Raw genomic sequence first — 23,019 nt, 5'->3', positions numbered from 1 at the left:
CTTGTGATCTACCCACCTTGGCCTTCCAAAGTGCTGAGATTACAGGTGTGAGCCACTGCACCTGGCCCCAACAATTGATTTTGTGTTGACCTTTCATTCTGTGGCCTTGCTGAACTCACTTATTAGTTCTAATAGGTTTTTCCTAGATTTCATGGAATTTTCTGCGTAGAAGACCATGTCTTCTGTGATGTAAAGGCAGAAGTAAAGGCAGTTTTACTTCTTTCATTTCAGTTTGTATGCATTTTATTTCTTTTTCTTGCCTTACTTGTACTGACTAGGATCTCCAGCACAATTTTGAATAGAAGTGGTGAAGAGTGGCCATCTTGCATCATTCCCAATCTTAAGGCAGTTTTATTATACTTTGACCATGATGATGTTGGCTGTTACAGAGTTTTTTGGTTTGGGGGTTTTGTTTGTTTCTTAGATTCACTTTATTAGGTTGAGGAAGTTTTCTTCTATTTCTAGTCTGTTTAGAGTTTTTAATCATGAATGATGAGTTTTGTCATGAAAAAGCATTGACTTTTTCCAAATGCTTTTTCTAGTCTATTGAGGTGATAATGTGGTTTGTCCTTTTTAGTCCATTAATACAGTGACTTATAGATATTGATTTTTGAATATTAAACCAGCCTTGCCTTCTTGTAGTAAATGCCCCTTGGTTATAATGTATTATTCTTTTTATATATTGCTGGATTAAATTTACTAGTATTTTATTAAGGATTTTAAAGCCTTTTTTATATACCTTTTATTTTATTATTTTTTAAATTAATTAATTTTTTTTTTTTAAGTTAGAGTCTTACTCTGTTGCCCAGGCTGGAGTGGAGTGGCACCATCTCAGCTCACTGTGACCTCTGCCTCTCGGGTTCAAGCAATTCTCCTGTCTCAGCCTCCTGAGTAGCTAGGATTACAGGTGTGTGCCACCACACCTGTCTAATTTTTGTATTTTCAGTAGAGGCGGGGTTTTGCCATATTGGCCAGGCTGGTCTCAAACTCCTGACCTCAAGTGATCCACCCACCTCAGCCTCCCAAAGTGCTGGGATTACAGGCGTGAGCCACCACGCATATAAATCCCTGACCTTTATATGCATTTTATTTTTACTTGACAAATAATAGTTGTATTTTTTGGGGGGTACAAGGTGATGTTTTAATATACAGTCATGTGTTGCTTAATGAGGGGGGAAATCTGAGAAATGCATCATTAGGTGATTTTTTTGTTATTGTGTGAATGCTATAGATGATATAGCCTACTACACACCTAGGCCTATAATGTAATAATAGCCTGTGTTTTCTAGGCTACAAACCTGTACGGCATGTACAGCATGGTATTGAATACCATGGGCAGTTTTAGCACAGTGGTAAGTTTTGTGTATGTAAACATATCAAACATAGAAAAGGGACAGTAAAAATTAAAGATAAAAATGGGCTGAGCACGGCGGCTTACACCTGTAATCCCAGCACTTTGGGAGGCCAAGGTGGGTGGATCACGAGGTTAGGAGATGGAGACCATTGTGGCTAACATGGTGAAACCCTGTCTCTACTAAAAATACAAAAAATTAGCCTAGCATGGTGGCATGCACCTCTAATTCCAGCACTTTGAGAGGCCTAAGTGGGTGGAACACCTGAGGTCAGGAGTTCAAGACCAGCCTGGCCAACATGGTGAAACCCTGTCACTACTAAAAATACAAAAATTAGCTGGGAGTGGTGGAGGGGGTGCCTGTACTCCCAGCTACTCGGGAGGCTGAGGCAGGGGAATTGCTTGAACCCGGGAGGCAGAGTTTGCAGTGAGCCAAGATCACGCCACTGCACTGCAGCCTGGGCGACAGAGCGAAACTCCATCTCAAAAAAAAAAAAAAAAAATGGTCCATCTGTGTAGGGCACTTACCATGAGTGGAGCTTGCAGGACTAGAAGCTGCTCTGTGTGAGTCAGTGAGAGAGTGGCGAGCGAATATGAAGGCCTAGAACATCACTGTATAGTATTGTAGACTTTATAAACACCGTACACTTAAGCTACACTTTATTTTTTAAAACTGTGCTATGATGTTGCAACAGCTACGACATCACTAGGCAATAGGAATTTTTCAACTTCATTTTATTTTATTTTATTTTACTTTATTTTATTTTGAGACAGAGTCTCGCTCTGTAGCCCAGGCTGGAGTGCAGTGGTGTGATCTCTGCTCACTGCAACCTCCACCTCTGGGGTTCAAGCTATTTTCCTGCGTCAGCCTCCTGAGTAGCTGGGATTATAGATGCCCACCACCACATCTGGCTAATTTTTGTATTTTTAGCAGAGGCAGGGTTTCACCATGTTGGCCAAGCTAGTCTCGAACTCTTGGCCTCAAGTGATCTGCCGCCTTAGCCTCCCAAAGTGTGAGCCACCGTGCCCGGCCTCAACTCCATTTTAATCTTATGGGACCCCCTGTTGTAAGTGCCATCTGTTACTGACTGAGATGTCCTTATGTGACTCATGGCTGTATGTATTTATTGTTAAATGATTCAATCAAACTAACTAACATATGCCTCACCCAATTTTTTGTGTGGTGAGAACATTTTAAGTCTAATCTTTTAGCAATTTTGAAATATGTAATATGTCATTATTAACTATAGTCAACATGCTATGCTAAAAACTAAAACTTATTCCTGCTGTCTGAAACTTTGTGCCCTCCCACCAACATCTTCCCTTTTCCCAGCCTACCCTCCCTTGTTAAGGATTTTTATATCTTATGTTCATGAAGGATACCTGGTCTATACCTTTCTTATCATTATAAGAAATAAGGCCAGGTGCGGTGGCTCACCCCTGTAATCCCCGCACTTCGGGAGGCCGAGGTGGACGGATCACGAGGTCAGGAGATCGAGACCATCCTGGCTAACATGGTGAAACCCCGTTTCTACTAAAAATAAAAATAATAATAAAAAAAAAATAGCCGGGCGTCGTGGTGGGCGCCTGTAGTCCCAGCTACTCGGGAGGCTGAGGCAGGATAATGGCCTGAACTCAGGAGGTGGAGCTTGCAGCGAGCCTAGATCGTGCTACTGCACTCCAGCCTGGGTGACAGAGTGAGACTGTGTCTCAAAAAAAAAAAAAAAGAAATGATATGATTTGTTGATGTAATACTGGCCTTATAAGATGAGTTGGGGAAGTGTTCCCTCTTTAATATTTTTTGGAAGAGTTTGCATATAATTAATATTATTTCTTCCTTAAATGTTTAGTAGAATTCACTAGTGAAGTGACTTGGGTCTGGAAAGTTAATACAAATTCAGTTTCTTTAATTGATAGAGAACTATTCAAGTTATCTATTTCTCTGTCACGCATGGTGGCTCATGCTTGTAATTCCAGCACTTAGAGAGGCTGAGGCGGGAGTTTGAGACCAGCCTGTCCAACATGGTGAAACCCTGTCTCTACTAAAAATACAAAAGAAAATTAGCCGGGTGTGGTGGCGCACGCTTGTAATCCCAACTACTCAGGAGGCTGAGGCGGGAAAATCGCTTGAGCCCGGAAGTGGAGGTTGCAGTGAGTGGAGATCACGCCACTGCACTCCAGCCTGGGCGACAGAGTGGTACTCTGTCTCAAAAACAAAAAAATTAGTTGGGCGTGGTGGCACACACATATAATCCCAGCTACTTGCGAGGCTGAGGCGGGAGAATTACCTCAACCCGGAAGGCGGAGGTGGCGGTGAGCCCAGATGGTACCACTGCACTCCAGCCTGGGCAACAGAACAAGACTATCTCAAAAAAAAAAAAGAACTATTGAAGTTATCTATTTCTTCCTGAGTAATCTTGGGTAGTTTGTGTTTTTGAAGCAATTTGTTTCATCTAAGTTGTGAAATTTATTGGCAAAAAGTTGTTCTATACCTCTTCACACCCTTTAATACCTGTAGGACCTGCGGGACGTCCCCTCTTAATACCTATAGGGTCTGTGGGACGTCCCCTCTTTCAGTTCTGATACTGAGAGTTCTGTCTTCTTTTTTTCTTGACTTCAAGAAAATTTGTTTTCATAGAACCAGCTCTTGGTTTCATCATTCTTCTCCATTGTTTTCCTGTTTTCTCTTTCCTCAGTTTCTGCTCTAATCTTTTTTTTTTTCCTTTCTTCTTCTTACTTGGGTTTCATTTGCTCTTGTTAATTTGCTTTACAAATCGTAACTCCGTCAGCATCTCTGAACTTTGATCTGTGTCTCATCAACTCAGCAAGACGTTGGACTGTGTTTGAATTTCTTTTCCCTGTACTGCAGTCTGGGAATTTCCTTCTAGGAAAGCTCTAGCAAATGCAGGCTCACCTCATTTGTTTCTGGGACTGTAGGTCTGCACTGCCAGTTATCCAATGTCTGAAAAACAGCTATTTTATATGTTTTGTCCAGTTTCCTGGTTGTTTATGGTGGAAGGGCAATTCCCATAGTAACTAATCTTTCATGGGCTGAAGCAAAGGTCCTTTACAAACTTTTTAGAATAATCAGAAGCAGTATATTCTATCCCTTTACCTTTTAATCAGTTCAGTCCAACTTCTCCACATTCCTTCTTCTGGATTTGTTTTTACTCTAGAGCAAATTGATTTCATGATCTGTTGAAACTCAAATGCATTATCTATCCTTAAATTACGTGCAGATGAGGACATCTCACAATACAGGTTCATGCTGGATCTAATCTTGAGTTCTCTTAGTATTATGTTTTTGTTGTTTTTTATTTTCTAATTTCTGTCCTAGAGATAAACGGCCTTCGTTGTAAGCATGACAGATGAGACTTCTTTACTCTTTTTCCAAATATTTAATACATAGCCCTGAAGCATTGGAGAGGCTAAGTACATTTATTTATTTATTTATTTTTTAAGTTGCCTTGGGCTTGTTTTCCATCATTAGATTTGGTCTTTGTCGAAATACATTGTATGTAATTCCTGATATTTTTCACTTGTGACCTTACTCAATGTTTGTTTGTTACTGTTCTCATCTTATTCACTTGAATAATGCTTAGTTTAAAATTTTAACCACATAAACCGTATTTACTTGTCTGATTTTTTTTTTCCTAGATGGTATAGCTGCATGCTGGGAAAGAAATGCAGCCTGGCGCCTCTGAAGGAGGAGCTTCGCATACAAGGGGTGAGGCTTCCTCATTACTGTTCTCGTGTAGCTACTTTTCTTTGTATCCATGGGGCACAAGTACAGTTTTGCTACATTGATATATTGCATTGTGGTGAAGTCAGGGCTTTCAGTGTAACTGTCACCGGAACAATTCATGTCGTTGTGCATGTCCTACCCACCAAGCAACCTCCCGTCACCCGGTCTCCCACTCCCCAACCACAAGTCTCCCTTTGCCCGTCATTCCATACTTTGCTTCCATGTGTACACATTATTTAACTCCTACTTAGAAGTAAGAACACGTGGTATTTGTCTCAGTTGTTTCACTTAAGATAATGGCCTCCAGTTCTGTCCATGTTGCTGAAGACACAATTTCATTCTTTTTTATGGCTGAATAGTATTCCATTGTGTATGTATACTGCATTTTTAAAATCCAGTCCTTTGTTGATGGATACTTAAGTTTATTCAAGTCCAGATATCTTTTCTTTCTTTTCTTTTCTTCTTCTTCTTCTTCTTTTTTTTTTTTTTTTTTTTTTTTTTGAGATCAAGTCTAGCTCTGTTCCCAGGCTGGAGTACAGTGGTGGGATCATGACTCACTGTAACCTTGAACTCCTGGGCTCAACCCATCCTCCTACCTCAGCCTCCTGAGTAGCTGGGACTATAGGCAGATGGCACCATGCCTAGCTAATTTTGTTTTTCTTTAGTAGTGATGGGGTCTTGCCATGTTGCCCAGGCTGGTCTCAAATTCCTGGGCTCAAGCAGTCCTCTCACCTCAGCCTCCCAAAGTGCTGGGATTACAGGTGTGCACCATTGCACCCCACCTAATGATTTCTTTTCCTTTGGGACCAAGTCTTCTAGTATTTTTTGTACTTTCAGGTCTTATATTCAAGTCTTTAGTCCATCTTGAGGTTTTTTTTCATATATCTACTGTTTTGTTTTTGTTTTTTTTTGAGAAATGGGGTCGGGCTGGGCGCAGTGGCTCACGCCTGTAATCCCAGCACTTTGGCAGGCCGATGTGGGCGGATCATGAGGTCAAGAGATCGAGACCATCCTGGGCAACATGGTGAAACCCCATCTCTACTAAAAATGCAAAAATTAGCCGGGCATGGTGGCACGCGCCTGTAGTCCCAGCTACTGGGGAGGCTGAGGCAGGAGAATCTCTTGAACCTGGGAGGCAGAGGTTGCAGTGAGCTGAGATCGTGCCACTGCACTCCAGCCTGGTGACACAGCGAGACTCCGTCTCAAAAAAAAAAAAAGATGGTGTCTTGCTCTGTCAACCAGACTGTAGTGTGGTTGCACAGTCATAGTTTGCTGCAACCTCAAACATCTAGGCTTAAGCAATCCTCCCACTTCAGCCTCTCAAGTAGCTGGGACTGTTGGCACACACCACCACGCCCAGCTAATTTTTAAATTTTTAGTAGAAACAAGGTCTCTCTGTGTTGCCCAGACTAGTTCAAACTCCTGTACTCAAGTAATCCTTATTTTTTATAAAGATAGGGTCTTGCTGTATTGCCCAGGCTGGTCTCAAACTACTGGCCTCAAGTGATCCTTCCACCTTGGCCTCCCAAAGTGCTGGGATTACAGGCGTGACCCATGCACCTGACCTGTGTCTACTCTGATGGTAGTTTTGAGTATAGAATTTTCTTTATACTCTAAAACTCTAAATATGTTTTTTGTTTTGTTTTCTAAGTTTTATATTTTTAGGGCTAAAATATATTTTTTATAGATTATTAAAACAAGGCCTTTTTTGACAATTATAGAGAAAGGTGGAGAAAAACAGGGTGAGTAGAATGTCAGAGAGAAGCCAGAAATCAAAAAACCTGGTATCTACCACTGACCTCACATCGAACTCCTTTTTAATATTTTTTTAATTTTTATTTTTTACTATGCCTCCAAGACAAGTTCAACTCACTCCTTTATAGATCCAGAAACTCAAGCTACATAGGTTTAAGGGCTTGTTGTGGGCCATGCAGTTAGCTCTGGGGGAACAGCACCAGCACACGGTCTCGGTCCCCTGTGCTTCCCACTAGGATGACATTCCACAAGAGCAGAGCCCCGTGCTCCTGTTTCAGAAGGCAGGTCGCAAGTAAGTACTCCCAGGCCGGGCAAAGTGGCTCATGTCTGTAATCACAGCACTTTGGGAGGCTGAGGCGGGCAGATTGCTTGAACCTAGGAATTCAAGACCAGCCTGGGCAACACAGCGAAATCTCATCTCAACAAAAAAATACAAAAAGTTAGCCAAGTGTGATGGCGCGTGCTTGTAGTCCCCACTACCCAGGAGGCTGAGGTGGGAGGATCCATTGAGCCCGGAAAGTTGAAGTTGCAGCAAGCTAAGATCACGCCACTGCACTACAATCTGGACGACAGAGCGAGACCCTGTCTCCCCAAAAAATTTTCTTTTAAATAAAATAAATACTCCCACCGCCACTTCCACTTTCCTCCCAGTTTCTGGTTTTTAGTGTGAGTCAGAGGACTTCTCAGCAAAAGGGTCAGATGCAAGCCAGTGGGAGGAGCAGAGTTTCTGGTCTCTGGTTTCTCTCTGACGTCCTATTCCTCCTCTTTTCCTCACAATACCATTTCTTGGGTAAATTGTGAGAGCTACAAACTAGTTCCTTTACCTTTCCTAAAATCTGATTGATAAAACAGATTACCTACCTGTGTCTAGCCCAGACTTTGGTTGACTTTCTTTCTAAAAAAGAAAACAAAAAATCACTTGAGGCTGGGTGTGGTGGCTCACACCTGTAATCTCAGCACTTTGGGAGGCCGAGGTGGGCGGATCGCCTGAGGTCAGGAGTTTGAGACCAGTGATGGTGAAACCCCATCTCTACTAAAAATACAAAAATTAGCTGGGCGTGGTGGCATGCGCCTGTAATCCCAGCCACTCGGGAGGCTGAGGCAGGAGAATTGCTTGAATCTGGGAGGTGGAGGTTGCAGTGAGCCAAGACCGCACACTGCACTCCAGCCTGGGTGACAGAGCAAGACTCTGTCTCAAAAAAACAAAAAACAAAAAAACTCACTTGAGTCATATTACAAATAATTCTCTAAAGAGCTGTGTTTTCAGTGTTTCATATATTTGAACCTTCAAGTCATATCTGTAAATTCTCTTATGTTTTATGGGAGGAAAAAATATAACTTTGTTGAGAGATGATTTATTCATTCATTATTAGGCAGCTATCTATAACTGTTGTTTGGTAATATTGTTTGTTAACTGATTAAAAAGAAGGATCAACATAATATGGCATGACGCAGCAGCCAGAAACATATTGGTAGAATGATTGCAGTTTGATGAGATGCTGTCTTTGTTGGTTTCAGGTTCCCAAAGTAACGTACACTGAATTCTGTCAAGGTCGGACAATGAGATGGGCCTTAGCTTGGAGTTTTTATGATGATGTCACAGTACCAGTAAGTACAGACCTTGCTCCGCTTCACCACCTGCCAGCACATGGTGGGTTTCAGTCCATCATAAGTGAACTGAATTGGTAGTGTCCTGTTTAACTGAAGTTTGTCCCAAATGCTTATGTCAGAATGGAAAGGGGTTGTAACCAAGACACAGTCCTAGAAGGCTGGTCCTGGAGACTGTGGAGCCTTCCTCTGTGAGTCTGTACAACATAGTGATTTTTGCTCAGCTGACAGAAATGTATCTTTTAGGAATTAAAAATTTGGCTGGGCATGGTGGCTTATGCCTGTAATCCCAGCACTTTGGGAAGCCGAGCTGGGCGGATAACTTGAGGCCAGGAGTTTGAGACCTGCCTGGCCAACATGGTGAAACTGTGTCTCTGCTAAAAATGCAAAAATTAGCTGGGCGTGGTGGCACTCCTGTAGTCCCAGCTACTCGGGAGGCTGAGGCACGAGAATTGCTTGAACCCAGGAGGCGGAGGTTGCGGTGAGCTGAGATTGTGCCACTGCACTCCAGCCTGGGCCACAGAGCAAGACTCTGTCTCAAAAATATTAAAAATGAAATAAATAAAAATTTTTTTAAAAAACAAAATTCAGGTAACATAACCTGTAGAAACATTTTGCAGATATAATTACGCTGGTGGACATTCCTCAAGAATTGAAAATGAGGTCTCTTTCTTTTCCTTACCACTGCTGCTTTCCTAGAATAGCTGCCTCTTGGGGCTCCTGGAGAACGTAGAAGTTGACTTTTTGGATTGCAGGCTTTTGATGTGCAACACTTGGGGATCATTTTAATGAAGGGTTCTGTCTTGGCTTTCAGATTAGCACTAGAATCTTAACCATTTTTGAAGCTGGGTGATAGATCATTATTCCTTTCTATTTTGTGTGTGCTAGAACATTTTCTGGAATAAAAAGTTTAAAGAAATGATTTGTGTCCAGGCCTGGTGGCTCACACCTGTGATCTCAACACTTTGGGAGGCCGAGGCGGGCAGATCACTTGAACTCAGGAGTTCGAAACCAGCCTAGGCAACATGGTGAAACCCCGTCTCTACAAAAAATACAAAAATTTTTGTATTTTGATGGCGCATGCCTGTAGTCCCAGCTGCTGCGGAGGCTGAGGTGGGAGGATCACTTGAGCCTGGCAGGTAGAGGCTGCAGTGAGCCCTGATCGTGTCACTGCACTTTCTGCACTTCAGCCTGGGGCAACAGAGTGAGATCCTGTCTCAAAAAAAAAAAAAAAAAAGGTTTGTTCACAGATGTCTCTTTGTCCTCAGTGCTGCTATAGGTAAAGGAAAACCACCTCTGAGCTGGCCAGACTGAATGATTTTCCGGGCAGTGACAGAACAGCATCTGTTGCTTCTCACAGTTCCCTCCCAGGTGTGGTTGGCTTCTTGTTGCCTGGAGATTCCCAGCTGAAGTGTCTGCACACACTGCCCAGCAGGTGCTCTTCCTTTCTTAGTATGTGCGGGGACCTGACACCTGCTGCTTTGCTCCCTCAGCGCCTACAGTGGGCTTGTTCTGGGTGCTGTTCTTCCAAGCTCTTGGCTGCTCTTGGTCTCTAACGTCATCTTACATGTTGCTGTGTGTCTGAGTCTCTTCTCCTGCTCTTGTAGGGTAGAGGAGTAGAGACATGTAGCACAAGGGAACAATTTGCAGATACTACCATGTTTCTGAAAACAGGAGCTTAAATCCGAGGTTGAGCCTGTCCTACTCTGCAGCTAGAAGTGCTGCTGGGTTCAATTACACTCCCCAGTGCCATTTGAATGGCCCTTCCATGAAGGGTAGACTCCTGGACAGTGCAGTAAGTTATCTAGAGGTTTGTGTTTGAAATAGTCTCTGGTTAAAAAGATGCTTCTCCTTTTTTGACACCCCTCACCACCCCGAAGAATTATCCTTTCTGTCATTTTCTAGAATATCAGGGCCCTCACACCACATGGTTAAAATCATTAGTAATGCTCTGAGTTATCCCCGTGGAGACACTAACAGCTGCAGCAAACTGGAACTGCACCTGTTTTCAAGTGCTTTCTGCTTCACCCGCCTCCCACATGTGTCGGCGCTGCAGGTGGAAGAGCAGATAAAGCACCCTGGCACTCCACACCAGCTCCGAGACCGAGTCCTCCGGGCCCTCCTGCATGAGTAGCCTTGTCAGGTCCACGTAGTAAAGGGCACTGCTTCTGTGTTAACAAAACCAGCTTATTTTGCAAAGGAACCCCCTAAGCTTCCCTCCCCTCCTCTCCTCTGTTTTGGGGCATCCTTCAGCCCCGTTCATAGTTCTCAACCATCAGAGAATGCTGAGGGCCCCAGATTCCCCCCCTACCAGAGTCTTCCTCCCTCCCCACCACTACCCCAGCCCCAAGCCGCTAATAATGCACTCCCATCTCAACCATCAGAGAATGCTGAGGGCCCCAGACTCCCCCCTGCCAGAGTCTTCCTTCCTCCCCACCACTACCCCAGCCCCAAGCTGCTAATAATGCACTCCCAAGTGTTCTGTTAGACGCACTTCAGCCGCTACAGGAAAAAACGGCAATTCCTGATTTGTAGTAACCCAGCAACAGTTTCTTAGCACTGCTGCCCTTGATCGGCAACTGCTTTCCCCAGGGGGTCGTCCCAGGGTACTCACGAGGTTTTTATTTAGCCATCCTCTTGGTTCTCTTCCCTCTTCCTAGACCTCTCTCCCCACCCTCGTTTTTTGAAAACCCCATCTGACTTTCCCCCTCTTGCTCCTGGTGGGGGTAAGGAAGGAGGAGGATGCTGCTTTAGACAAGGAATAGAGCTAGTTAAGCAGAAACATTGACCTATTTCCCCACCCCCACTCCCGCCATTTTAGGGTAAATGTGCAAGTTACTATGGCAACTTCTGTTTTCACTTATCTCAGGCCTACTGACTCGTTTCTGTTGGTGCTGAATGCTGAAAAATTCTAATTCACTGGTGATTCAAGTGCCCACACTCAGCCCATTCCTGTTGTCTGGATTTCTTTTAGCAACAAAAAGGTCCTAATGTTGATAGAATTTTGTTCCATAATTTCAGCTAATGATGAATATAAGGAAGCATGTTCTACAAACTGTTCTCTGCAGAATTCTAACAAGCCACTTACCTCTTTGTTCCAGCTCTCCGCTAATTGCCGAAAGCATTATTTTAGCTTTGTTTTGGTTTGCTTGAAGGAAGTTTGACGTTTGTTAGGAGAAAAAGGGGAAAGTGTAGCCCTAGTGAGTTGTTCACTCTTGGTGTGAGCACTGCTCAGGAACTCTGGGCTTAAAAAGGATCCCCTGCATTGAAGACATTACCTTTAAGCCTGGGACGTGGCTGTCTAGGGAGTAAGAACTAGAGGGCTTTTTGGAGAGCAGATGGAGGAGAGGTGTCAAATTAATTAGGCAACTTTGTGCATGTTGGAGCTGGGTATCCTGACAGTGCCCAGCTCCCTTCTCCTTAGGTTTTCAGTCTTGTCCACATAGCTGAGGGATGCCAGGTAGGTGCCCCAGGGTGGGGCAGACATCAGGCTGGTACTTGAGACCTCCCTCTCATTTTAAAGAGCTCATCTGCTTTTATCATTATTATGTGTTGATTTATTTGTTGAAAGTGTCCTGCTGTTAAGAAATGGTTTGGGCTGGCCGTGGTGGCTGATGCCTGTGATCCCAGCACTTTGGGAGGCCAAGGTGGTGATCACCTGAAGTCAGGAGTTTGAGACCAGCCTGGCCAACATGATGAAACCCCATCTCTACTAAAAATACAAAAGTTAGCTGGGCGTGGTGGTGCACACCTGTAATCCCAGCTACTGGGGAGACTGAGGCAGGAGAATCGCTTGAACCTGCAAGGCGGAGGTTACAGTGGGCGGAGGTTACAGTGAGCCGAGGTCACGCCGTTGCCCACCAGCCTGGGTGACAGAGTGAGACTGGGTCTCAAAATAAAAAGAAGTTTGAATAAAAATAGTTTGAAAACCAGTACTGTACCAGGCTGTGCATTATGCTACAAGATGGACAGGGGCTGAGCTCTTGAGCAAAACCAAAGCTTAGGACCCTCTTCTTAGTTACTTTTCTTCTTAAGTGTGGTCTTCATTGTGATGATAAACAAATCAGACATTGTTTTCTGTTACTCACAATGATGAGTTTTATAGGAAAGAAAAACACGTGGAGCTATTGATCCCGATCTGCAGCAGATTTGCATGTGAGTAAGTGCTGAGTGGTAGGGGCAGGAGTGGCCAGGAGTTGAGAAAAGGAAGTGGCTCAGGCTGGGGCTAGTCAAAGACCGCTTTATGGAGGAGGAGTCGCCAGCGTCTGACTCGTAGGTCGGTGGGTGGCGTTCCCAGTGTTTGTTGTATGTTTAAAGGAATGGTGTAGGACTTGCGTTAAAGAGCAACATCGTGCGCAGGATCCAGTAGATTTAGTAGATTTGAAGCACTGGATATAATATTTGTTGTTGTTTGAATACTTCACATACATTATAGTCTCATTTTATTTCCACCTGACAGCAATCGAGTGAACTACGTCTACTGCAGGCTCCAAAAAGTCAGGTTAGAACCCAGATGAGTCTGATTTCACAGCCTGAGCACCTAATGTCACTCTGACACTCTGCCCGCCACGGCCCTATGTTGTTCCTGGCCTGGCCAGAACCTGCTCATGATGGCCTCACATCTTGCTTATGGACCATCCTAGCAGTTTCTCATCTGCGAGTGACTGGATTCATCCTGCAGTCAGCATCCTGCTCACCCACTCCTGAGTGGCCACCTACCACAAGTGGGAGGAAGTACAGCTCCTCGTTTGGCTCCTTGGGCCTCCCAGATCTGTCCTGACTTTCCATCCTAATCACTCCCAGTTGTCCTGACTGTACTGTCTCCACAGCCTTCCCATGGTGCCGAAGTCAGAGCTGACTTTGTACAGCCTTTGCTCATACCCTGTTCTGATCCTTCCCTCTGACGTCCTCCACTGCAACCCAGCCCAGTTCCAACTTACTTGCATAGAGCTCCCATAAGCATTCAGCCCATAGAACCTGGACATCTCTCCCTTCCTCTGGACTTAACTGCATTGATCTCTTTCAGTTATCTATACTCTGCATAAACTTCCTTGTGGCATACTTTACACTGGTGTTTTGTTTAACTGAGGTACTGTGGATAACACCAAAACCTTCTTGCATAGGTGTGGAAAAGGCCTTTTGTGAGCTGGTCCCTGTCTGGCTTTACATAGAACAGGCTACTTAACTTCGCTAAACTTCAGTTTCCTCATCTGTAAAATGGGGAAGAATAATAGTATCTACCACATAGGGTTGTTTTGAGGATTAAGTGTACTTAACTTAGTGCCTGGTATGTAGTAATGCTCAGTAAAATATATTGTGTTGTCATTTCCCACCATTTCTTCCCACCTGCCCCTGTATTTGTTACTCCAGTCATGTTGAGCTACAGCTCTCTAATCCCTCTGCCTGGAGATTCCTCCTCTGACCATTAACCCATTTATGCCGGAAGTTGCAAGTTTTTTTTTTGTGAAAACTCAGACCTTGGCGATGACCGTGAGCGTCGGATATAAATAATTCCACCAAGCTTAATTTTTTTTTTTATTTTGAGACTGGGTCTCACTGTTGCCAAGGCTGGAATGTATTGGCGCGCTCACGGCTCACTGCAGCTTTGACCTCCCAGGCTCGTGTGATCCTCCCCTGTCAGCCTCCCTAGTAGCTGCGCCTACAGGCATGTGCCACCATGCCTGGCTAATTTTTGTATTATTTTATAGAGACAGAGTCTCCCTAGGTTGCCCAGGTTGGTCTTGAACTCCTGGGCTCAAGTGATCCACCTTCCTCGGCCTCCCACAGTGCTGGGATTACAGGCATAAGCCATTGCACCCAGCCTAAAATGCAAACTAATTTAACATTGAGTCACATTTAAGCTGGGCGTGGTGGCTCACACCTGTAATCCCAGCACTTTGGGAGGCCAAGGCAGGCGGATCACGAGGTCAGGAGATCGAGACCATCCTGGCTAACACGGTGAAACCTTCCCTCCGTCTCTACTAAAAATACAAAAAAATAGCTGGACATGGTGGTGCGCGCCTATAGTCCCAGCTACCCCAGAGGCTGAGGCTGGAGAACGGCGTGAACCTGGGAGACAGAGTGTGCAGTGAGCCAGGATCGTGCCACTGCACTCCAGCCTGGGCGACAGAGCAAGACTCAGTCTCAAAAGAAAAAAAAAAAATATTGAGTCACATTGAGCTTCTGAGAAGATAGCTTGTTGTTATTTCTCCTTGTTATTATTGTTATTATATCCTTGTTGTTATTTCTCTTGCTCCGTTGTTATTTCTACAAATTATGGCAAATGATAAGGTTATTTTTAAACATTTAATTTTAAACCATCTATTCCCCAAAATGCAGATTGCAGACTCCCCAATTCACAGGCATTTTATTTATTTATTTATTTTTGAGTCAAAAGATACCAAAAAGGATGTTAAATCTCATTAGTTATTAGAGAACTGCAAATGAAAAGCATAATGGCATACTGGATAGACCATCCAGCGTTGGCAAGGATGCAGAGCAATTGCCGATCCTCTCATGCAGCTGGGTGTCAACTGGTAACATTCAGGAGAACATATCTTTAGGAAGATTTATGAGAGCTGAGCTTGCTCATACCCTGTGACCCAGCAATTCCACTCCTAAGTTTATATCCAAAAGAAATGTGTATTCACACGTATCACAAACATTGTACAAGAATGTTCACAGCAACATTATTCATAATAGCCCTAAACTAGAAGCCACTGAAATGTCTCTAAATAGTAGAAAGGGTAAATAAGTTGTAGTATATTCAGAAGATGGAAACTAAACAGTAATTCTGTTCCAGTGAATGAACCTGCCTTCACAACAATATGAATGAATCCCATACACATGATTTACACGAAAAGGCTGGGTGCAGCAGCTCCCACATGTAATCCTAGCATTTTGGGAGGCAGAGGCAGGTGGGTCACCTGAGGTCAGGATTTTGAGACCAGCCTGGCCAACATAGTGAAACTCTGTCTCTACTAAAAGTAACAAAAATTAGCTGGGCATGGTGGCACATTCCTGTAATCCCAGCTAGTTGGGAGGCTGAGGCAGGAGAATTGCTTGAACCCAGGAGGCGGAGGTTGCAGTGAGCTGAGATCACACCACTGCACTCCAGCCTGGGCAACAAGAGCGAGACTCTGTCTCAAAAATAATAATAATTATTATTATTTAATAATTTACATGAAAGAAGTCAGATACTGAAGCCTGCAAACAGGTACAACCCATGGTGATAGAAATTGGGATACTGAGAGAGGGATTGGTAATGGCCAATGAGCATGAGAGGGAATTGGGGTTCCTGGTAAATAAGTTCTTAAGACTTAACGTTTATAACAGATGTGCTTTTCTGTATCTATATTTCAATTTAAAAAAAAATTCTAAAAATATATCTAGGCTGGGCGCGGTGGCTCACGCCTGTAATCCCAGCACTTTAGGAGGCCAAGGCCGGCGGATCGCGAGGTCAGGAGATCGAGACCATCCTGGCTAACACAGTGAAACCCCGTCTCTACTAAAAAAATACAAAAAAATTAGCCCGGCGTGGTGGTGGGCGCCTGTAGTCCCAGCTACTCAGGAGGCTGAGGCAGGAGAATGGCGTGAACCCGGGAGGCGGAGCTTGCAGTGAGCCGAGATCCCGCCACTGCACTCCAGCCTGGGCGACAGAGCGAGACTCCGTCTCAAAAAAAAAAAAAAAAAAAAAGAGAATTCTAAAAATATATCTGAATAGAACAGAATTAAGGCAACTGAAACTGTCTAAAGTTCATAATTCAACTTTAAATACAGATAGAAGCATATTTTTAGGTACAGCAGCGCTGTCTCTATGAAAAAAAAAAATAGCCAGGAGTGGTGGTATGCGCCTGAAGTCCCAGCTACTTGGGAGGCTGAGATGAGAAGATCGCTTGACCCCAGTAGTTTGAGTCTGCAGTGAGCTATGATTGCACCACTGCACTCCAGCCTGGGTGACAGAGCAAGACTTTGTCTTAAAAAGAAAAAAAGTGGGAAGTGGGCAGGTGGCTCATGTCTGTAATCCCAGCACTTTGGGAGGCCGAGGCAGGTGGATCAACTGAGGTTAGGAGTTTGAGACTAGCCTGGCCAACATGGTGAAACCCCCGTCTCCACTAAAAATAGAAAAAAATTAGCCGGGCATGGTGGCGGGCGCCTGTAATCCCAGCTACTCGGGAGGCTGAGACAGGAGAATCGCTTGAACCCGGTAGGCAGAGGTTGCTGTGAGCTGAGATCGTGCCACTGCACTCCAGCCTGGGCGACAGAGCGAGACTCCGCCTCAGAAAAAAAAAAAGAAGCAGCAGCAGCTTGATCAGATACAGGGTTGATTGTTCTTTTTTTTTGATTGGGGAGGGGGAGCAAGAATACTTTGCAGGTGGTATGTGGTATATACTATCGTATGGAGGCACATGTTAGATTGTGTCTTCATGATGTGAGCAGTCATTGATGATCATTGCCTAGATCCATTAATTCATTTAGAGTTGCAAATAATGATATTCCAATTCTATTCGTCCCTTCATTTATTAGCTGAGGTACTTCTATGAAAGGAAACTTCTCCTATTAGTTATTAGTAACTTTGAAGTACAGTTCATCTAGTAAAGCCGGATAAATGTTTGATTCTTGGCCGAGCACAGTGGCTCACACCTGTAATCCCAGCACTTTGGGAGGCCGAGGCGGGCGGATTGCCTGAGGTCAGGAGTTCGAGACCAGCCTGGCCAACATAGTGAATCCCCGTCTCTATTAAAAATACAAATTTAGTCGGGTGTGATGATACACGCCTGTAGTCCCATCTACTTGGGAGGCTGAGGCAGGAGAATCGCTTGAACCCGGGAGGTGGAGGTTGCAGTGAGCCAAGATCGTACCACTGCACTCCGCCTGGGTGAGACTACATCTCCAAAAAAAAAAAAAAAAGTTTCATTCTTTTGCTTTATCAGTTTTAAAAATAATGAGTTGGCTGGGCACGGTGGCTCATGCCTGTAATCCCAGCGCTTTGGGAGGCCGAAGCGGGTGGATCACCTGAGGTCGGGAGTTCGAGACCAGCCCAACCAACATGGAGAAACCCTGTCTCTACTAAAAATACAAAATTAGCCAGGCCTGGTGGCGCATACCTGTAGTCCCAGCTACTCGGGAGGCTGAGGCGGGAGAATCACTTGAACCCAGGAGGCAGAGGTTGCGGTGAGCCGAGATTGTGCCACTGCACTCCAGCCTGGGCAACAAGAGCAAAACTCCGTCTCAAAAAGTAAAAAAGTAAAATAAATAAAAACAATGAGTTGGTGGTTCCCTAGCATCTTCCAAAAGTGACCAAAGAGGGTGGTTTGGTTTTCCTTTGTAGCATCTTATGAAGTCATGGATTACTTTTTTTTTTCTTTTTATTAAATAGAGATGGGGTCTTACTATGTTGCCCATGCTGGTCTCGAACTCCTGGGCTCAAGTGATCCTCCTGCTTCTGCCTCCCAAAGTGCTGAGATTACAGGTGTGAGCCACTGTGCCCCGCTGTATTACAATTTATATATATATATATATATATATATATATATATATATATTTTTTTTTTTTTTTTTTTTTTTTTTTTTTTTTTTTTTGAGACGGAGTCTCGCTCTGTCGCCTGGGCTGGAGTGCAATGGCAGGATCTCAGCTCACTGCAAGCTCTGCCTCCCGGGTTGAGGCTACATTTTTCAATTCATTACACTTACTATCTCTACTGAGGCACAGTTAACCGCCTTTGGCCATGGAGAATTTATTCAACTTGGCTCGTGAGTCTTTTTTATCATATCCACTGTAGTCTTTGGTGGCTTCCTTGCTTTCTGGTATCACAGGTTGTTCTAGGCTCATATTTTTTCCTCTCTCAGATCTGGAATCAACCATTTCTCCCAGGAGATCTGGTTTATTTTGCTGGGAAGTCGTATTTAAAGGTATTCATCTGGGCACTAGGGATGGTACCAGGTTAGTCATTGTTTTTAGAGGCTTTTTCAGCAGAGCTAGGAATTACTATTTTTAAGATGAAATATGTTGCAAGTTCTTGTTGATTCCTTTCCTTTCTTTTCCTTTCCTCCTCTCCCCTCCCCTTCCTTTCCCATCCCTCTCCTTCCCTCTTCCACTTCCTCCCTCCCTCCCTTCCTTCCTTGCCACCACATCCAGCTAATTTTTTTTTTTTTTTGGGTAAAGATGGAGTTTTGCCATGTTGCCCAAGCTGGTCTCAAACTCTTGGGCTCAAGTGATCCTCCTGCCTCGACCTCCCCAAGTGCTGGGATTGCAGGTGTGAGCCACTGTACCCAGCATATACTTGCTGATACTTTATTCAGCTTCACATCTGTGGGTTTTTACTTAATTTCATCAGTTGTCCATCTGTATCTCCCATTCAAAAATCCTGTGACTGCGGTGGTGCACGCCTGTAATCCTAGCTACTCAGGAGGCTGAGGCGGGGGGATCACTTGAGCTCAGGTGTTTGAGGCCAGCCTGGGCAACACAGAAGACCCTATCTCTTAAAAAAATAAAAGAATCCCATGCCAAAAACTCCAGTCCTCAGCCAACATATTACTCATTAACTTTATCTCACAATATGCCCCAGGAGTCTCAAAAGTAACATTACCATCAACAAAGTGATTTCTGAAAATAGCTACTTTTTTACTTTTACAATTCTTTTTTGTCCTTGGAGACTCTCATGATGGATTTCAAAGTCATTTGGAACGTTTCCACTCTGAATTTTCTGCATGGAGTCAGGACAGAGGTTCGTTTGTTTCATCATCTTCAGATTTTTAGGGAGTGCCTTTTTTGTTGTTAGTTTTGTTTTGTAATAAAATATATTTCTTATTTCTCTACCTGTGAAATGAAAAAAATCTCAAAAGAATGGTCAGAAGTCTGACTTCTTTCTTCTATCTCATTCACCCTAATCCTTTACTTCTTCATGGGTTACTATTTAAACAGTTTTATAATTTATCATTCCTTTATTTGTATTTATATTTTTGAGCCAGGGTCTTGCTCCGTTGCCCAGGCTGGAGTGCTGTGGCACGATGTCGGCTCACTGCAGGCCCTGCCTCCTGGGTTCAAGCTATTATTCTCCTGCCTCAGTCTTCCGAGCAGCTGGGATTACAGGTGTATGCCTCCATGCCCGGCTCTTTTTTTTTTTTTCGTATTTTTAGTAGAGATGGGGTTTCACCATGTTGGCCAGGCTGGTCTGGAACTACTGACCTCAAGTGATCTGCCTGCCTTGGCCTCCAAAAGTGCTGGGATTGCAGGCATGAGCCACCGTGCCTGACCCATTTTTTCAAATTCAAAGAAATACACGTATGTATTTATAATCATTCCTTCTTAAATAGGTAGCATTCTGCAATAGTTTTCTTCCCCTTGCTATTTTTACTTTTTTTTTTTTTTTTTTTTTTTTGAGACGGAGTCTTGCTCTGTCACCCAGGTTGGAGTCCAGTGGCGTGATCTCGGCTCACTGCAACCTCCGACTCCCTGGTTCGAGCAATTCTCCTGCCTCAGCCTGCCGAGTAGCTGGGATTATAGACACGTGCCACCATGCCCAACTAATTTTTATATTTTTAGTAGAGATGGGGTTTCACCATGTTGGCCAGGCTAGTCTTGATCTCCTGACCTTGTGATCTACCTGCCTCAGCCTCCCAAAGTGCTGGGATTACAGGCGTGAGCCATGGCACCCGGCTGCTATTTTTACTTTTTACTGTTTTTACGTACTCCTGGGGGTGATTTCAGGACATTTTAAACAACGACCTGTCAGATTAAGATGAAAGAAATGGGCTGGGTGTGGTGATGTGCACCTGTAGTTGCAGCTACTTGGGAGGCTGAAGTGAGAGAATCACCTGCGCACAGGAGTTCAAGGCCAGCCTGGGCAACATTGTAACTCCCTATCTCTTTTAAAAAACAGACGGCCACTGCACTGGGGTCTCCTCTCTGCCCTGTCCCCTTTCCACTTGAGGTTTTTCTAGAAGCTGCTTTGCCAAAACAAAGAGGTTGTGGCTTCGTGCGCACCAGATTTCTCTGTAGAATGGCTCTTCTCTTCCTGCAAATACTAGAGAGAATTTAATGATTTCATTCAGCCTGTGGCTTTTTTTTTTTTTTTTTGCCTTAGCCATAATTAACGGAGACATAACATGCTACACTGATCTGTGTCAAGCTACACCACATGTGAAAGTTTCTTGGCTGATGGCATCATTGAGATTTAGAAATTAAAGTGAAGATTCAAATTTGTACCAGTCTGGGCGACATGGCAGAACCCCATCTCTACAAAAAATACAAAAATTAGCTAGGCATGGTGGCACACACCTATAGTCCCTGCTACTCAGAAGACTGAGGTGGGAGGATCACTTGAGCCTAGGAGGTGGAGGCTGCACTGAGCCGTAATTGCGCCACTGCACTCCAGCCTGGGTGCCAGAGCATGACCCTGTCTCAAAAAAAAAAAGACAAGAAAAGAAATTTGTAGACCACCCTGCTACGTAGCATATTTTAAAATTTAAGAACTGGTTTTTTGTTTGTTTGTTTGTTTGTGCCTGATTGATGGCTTCTGTGATCTAATGTGTTTTTAACGCTTGCAGTTCCTCTCTTATTGATGATCATTCCTTGACTACTTGGAATTCAAAAGATATAAAACCTGTGGTCTCTGCAGACCTACGACTGCTCACCAGGCTTCTCTCACATTGTAATTCCAGCAGTGCATCTTCAAATCCAAAATCAGCTGTAAATTCACCTAGTTCTTTGCATTAAACTGGATTAATCATTGTAAATGATTGGTTTTGGGGTAGACTTTAAAATGTTGAATTATTTATGTACGCCTTGCCTGCTAAACTAGATTATGACAGTTTGAGTGTAGCACTCTTCATTTAAAATATTTGTGTTTTGCAATTATAAGGATATTAGCAAAATAAGATCATTTCAATTGGGGAAAAACTGACAGCTTCTATGTACTAGTGTTTGCAGCAAAATGTAAAAATTGCCTACGACCAGAGAGCTGTGGTGTTGAATTTAACTATTAATTTCTTAGAACTTGATCCTATATTTTACTGTGACCCTGCCCACGAGGACTTTTCATGATAAATAAGAGGGGACTGAACAACTGCTGTGAGCCATACTTCAGTTAATCTTTCATCATTTAAAAGCCTTGCCTGAGAACTCCTGGAGTATGAATTATCTGTCTTTTTTTTTTTTTTTGAGACGGAGTCTCGCTCTGTCACCGAGGCTGGAGTGCAGTGGCGCGATCTCTGCTCGCTGCAAGGTCCGCCTCCCGGGTTCACGCCATTCTCCCACCTCAGCCTCCCAAGTAGCTGGGACTACAGGCGTGTGCCGCCACGCCTGGCTAATTTTTTGTATTTTTAGTAGAGATGGGATTTCACCATATTGTCCAGGATGGTCTCAATCTCCCGACCTTGTGATCCACCCACCTCAGCCTCCCAAAATGCTGGGATTACAGGCGTGAGCCACTGCGCCTGGCCTGTCTGTCTCTTAATGTCTAGTTTCTATAGTAGAGCAAAGCCAAATTGAAGACCGTCCTGAGATGATGTGTGTGCATGTGTGTGCTAGAGCAGTTCATTAGAAATCTTCCGAATGCAGCTGGCGCAGTGGCTCAGGCCTGGAGTCCGAACACTTTGGGAGGCTGAGGCAGATGGAGAGCTTCAGCCTATGAGTTCCAGACCAGCCTGGGCAATCAATATAGCAAGACCCTTCTCTATTTAAAAAATAAAAATAAGGCCGGGCGCGGTGGCTCACGCCTGTAATCCCAGCACTTTGGGAGGCCGAGGCGGGCGGATCACGAGGTCAGGAGATCGAGACCATCCCGGCTAAAACGGTGAAACCCCGTCTCTACTAAAAATACAAAAAATTAGCCGGGCGTAGTGGCGGGCGCCTGTAGTCCCAGCTACTTGGGAGGCTGAGGCAGGAGAATGGCGTGAACCCGGGAGGCGGAGCTTGCAGTGAGCCGAGATCCCGCCACTGCACTCCAGCCTGGGCGACAGAGCGAGACTCCGTCTCAAAAAAAAAAATAAAATAATAAAATAAAATAAAATAAAATAAAAGGAAAATTTTTTAAAAAATCTTCAGGAATATCAAGTTTGTTGACTGACCATTGTATATGGGAAAGTTGGGTCAGGATGCAGGTGAAGGAGCCATATTTGAGAGAGGGAAGTTTTCATTTTAGTCCTGAGATAACTGGGTAATAAGTTGTCGATTTTGTGATTTCTGACTTCCTCAGAACTCTGAAAGTATCCCTGATAGAGTTCTTGTCAGGTTGGTAAAGATGTATTTTCTTATTTTAATCTCTAGAAATGATGAAGCCCGTCCTTACTTTTGGAGAAAGAGTGTCGCAGGTCAGCTTTAGCATAATGAGAAACAGCAATATCCTGACTTTACTGGTCAGAATTTGTGAGCAAAATGATCACTCCTTCTGTGAGAAGAGATGGGAAGTGCTGCCCTTTTAGCCATGCTTGTAGGTGACCTTTGCTGTACAGGGCGGGCTGGCAGGGAGGGCCAGGTTGCAGTGAGCTCTCCATGGTCATGGCCTTTGATGTTGGGACGGGGAATGGGGAGTCTGATTCTCCACCCCCATCATCCTCCC

General features: G+C 44.2%; 1 protein-coding gene across 5 annotated transcripts in view, besides 4 other annotated features; it reads left to right on the top strand.

Annotated features, from left to right (window-relative positions):
• METTL16 (methyltransferase 16, RNA N6-adenosine) overlaps window positions 1-23,019 on the top strand; it is a 96,174-nt gene that overhangs the window by 65,321 nt on the left and 7,834 nt on the right. For all 5 annotated transcript variants that reach the window (XR_007065448.1, XM_047436697.1, NM_024086.4 and 2 more), the window contains 2 exons: window positions 5,009-5,078; window positions 8,370-8,459. Coding sequence is in view for 4 of the 5 variants with exons in the window: in XM_047436697.1 (XP_047292653.1) it covers window positions 5,009-5,078; window positions 8,370-8,459 (160 nt within the window). In the remaining variant the exon portion in view is untranslated. The remainder of the gene's footprint in view (window positions 1-5,008; window positions 5,079-8,369; window positions 8,460-23,019) is intronic.
• Window positions 10,019-10,697: an enhancer, noted in NCBI's record as "H3K27ac-H3K4me1 hESC enhancer chr17:2339165-2339843 (GRCh37/hg19 assembly coordinates)". NCBI's record gives its function as "activates a minimal SCP1, AML or CMV promoter by ChIP-STARR-seq in naive H9 embryonic stem cells {active_cell/tissue: H9 hESC(naive)}" and the evidence as "EXISTENCE:reporter gene assay evidence [ECO:0000049][PMID:30033119]".
• Window positions 10,698-11,376: an enhancer, noted in NCBI's record as "NANOG-H3K27ac-H3K4me1 hESC enhancer chr17:2338486-2339164 (GRCh37/hg19 assembly coordinates)". NCBI's record gives its function as "activates a minimal SCP1, AML or CMV promoter by ChIP-STARR-seq in naive H9 embryonic stem cells {active_cell/tissue: H9 hESC(naive)}" and the evidence as "EXISTENCE:reporter gene assay evidence [ECO:0000049][PMID:30033119]".
• Window positions 11,377-12,055: an enhancer, noted in NCBI's record as "H3K27ac-H3K4me1 hESC enhancer chr17:2337807-2338485 (GRCh37/hg19 assembly coordinates)". NCBI's record gives its function as "activates a minimal SCP1, AML or CMV promoter by ChIP-STARR-seq in primed H9 embryonic stem cells {active_cell/tissue: H9 hESC(primed)}" and the evidence as "EXISTENCE:reporter gene assay evidence [ECO:0000049][PMID:30033119]".
• Window positions 12,056-12,735: an enhancer, noted in NCBI's record as "H3K27ac-H3K4me1 hESC enhancer chr17:2337127-2337806 (GRCh37/hg19 assembly coordinates)". NCBI's record gives its function as "activates a minimal SCP1, AML or CMV promoter by ChIP-STARR-seq in primed H9 embryonic stem cells {active_cell/tissue: H9 hESC(primed)}" and the evidence as "EXISTENCE:reporter gene assay evidence [ECO:0000049][PMID:30033119]".

The sequence above is a fragment of the Homo sapiens genome, chromosome 17, assembly GCF_000001405.40.
Source record: "Homo sapiens chromosome 17, GRCh38.p14 Primary Assembly".
NCBI lineage: Eukaryota > Metazoa > Chordata > Mammalia > Primates > Hominidae > Homo > Homo sapiens.
This window is presented reverse-complemented; position numbering and strand designations above follow the sequence as displayed.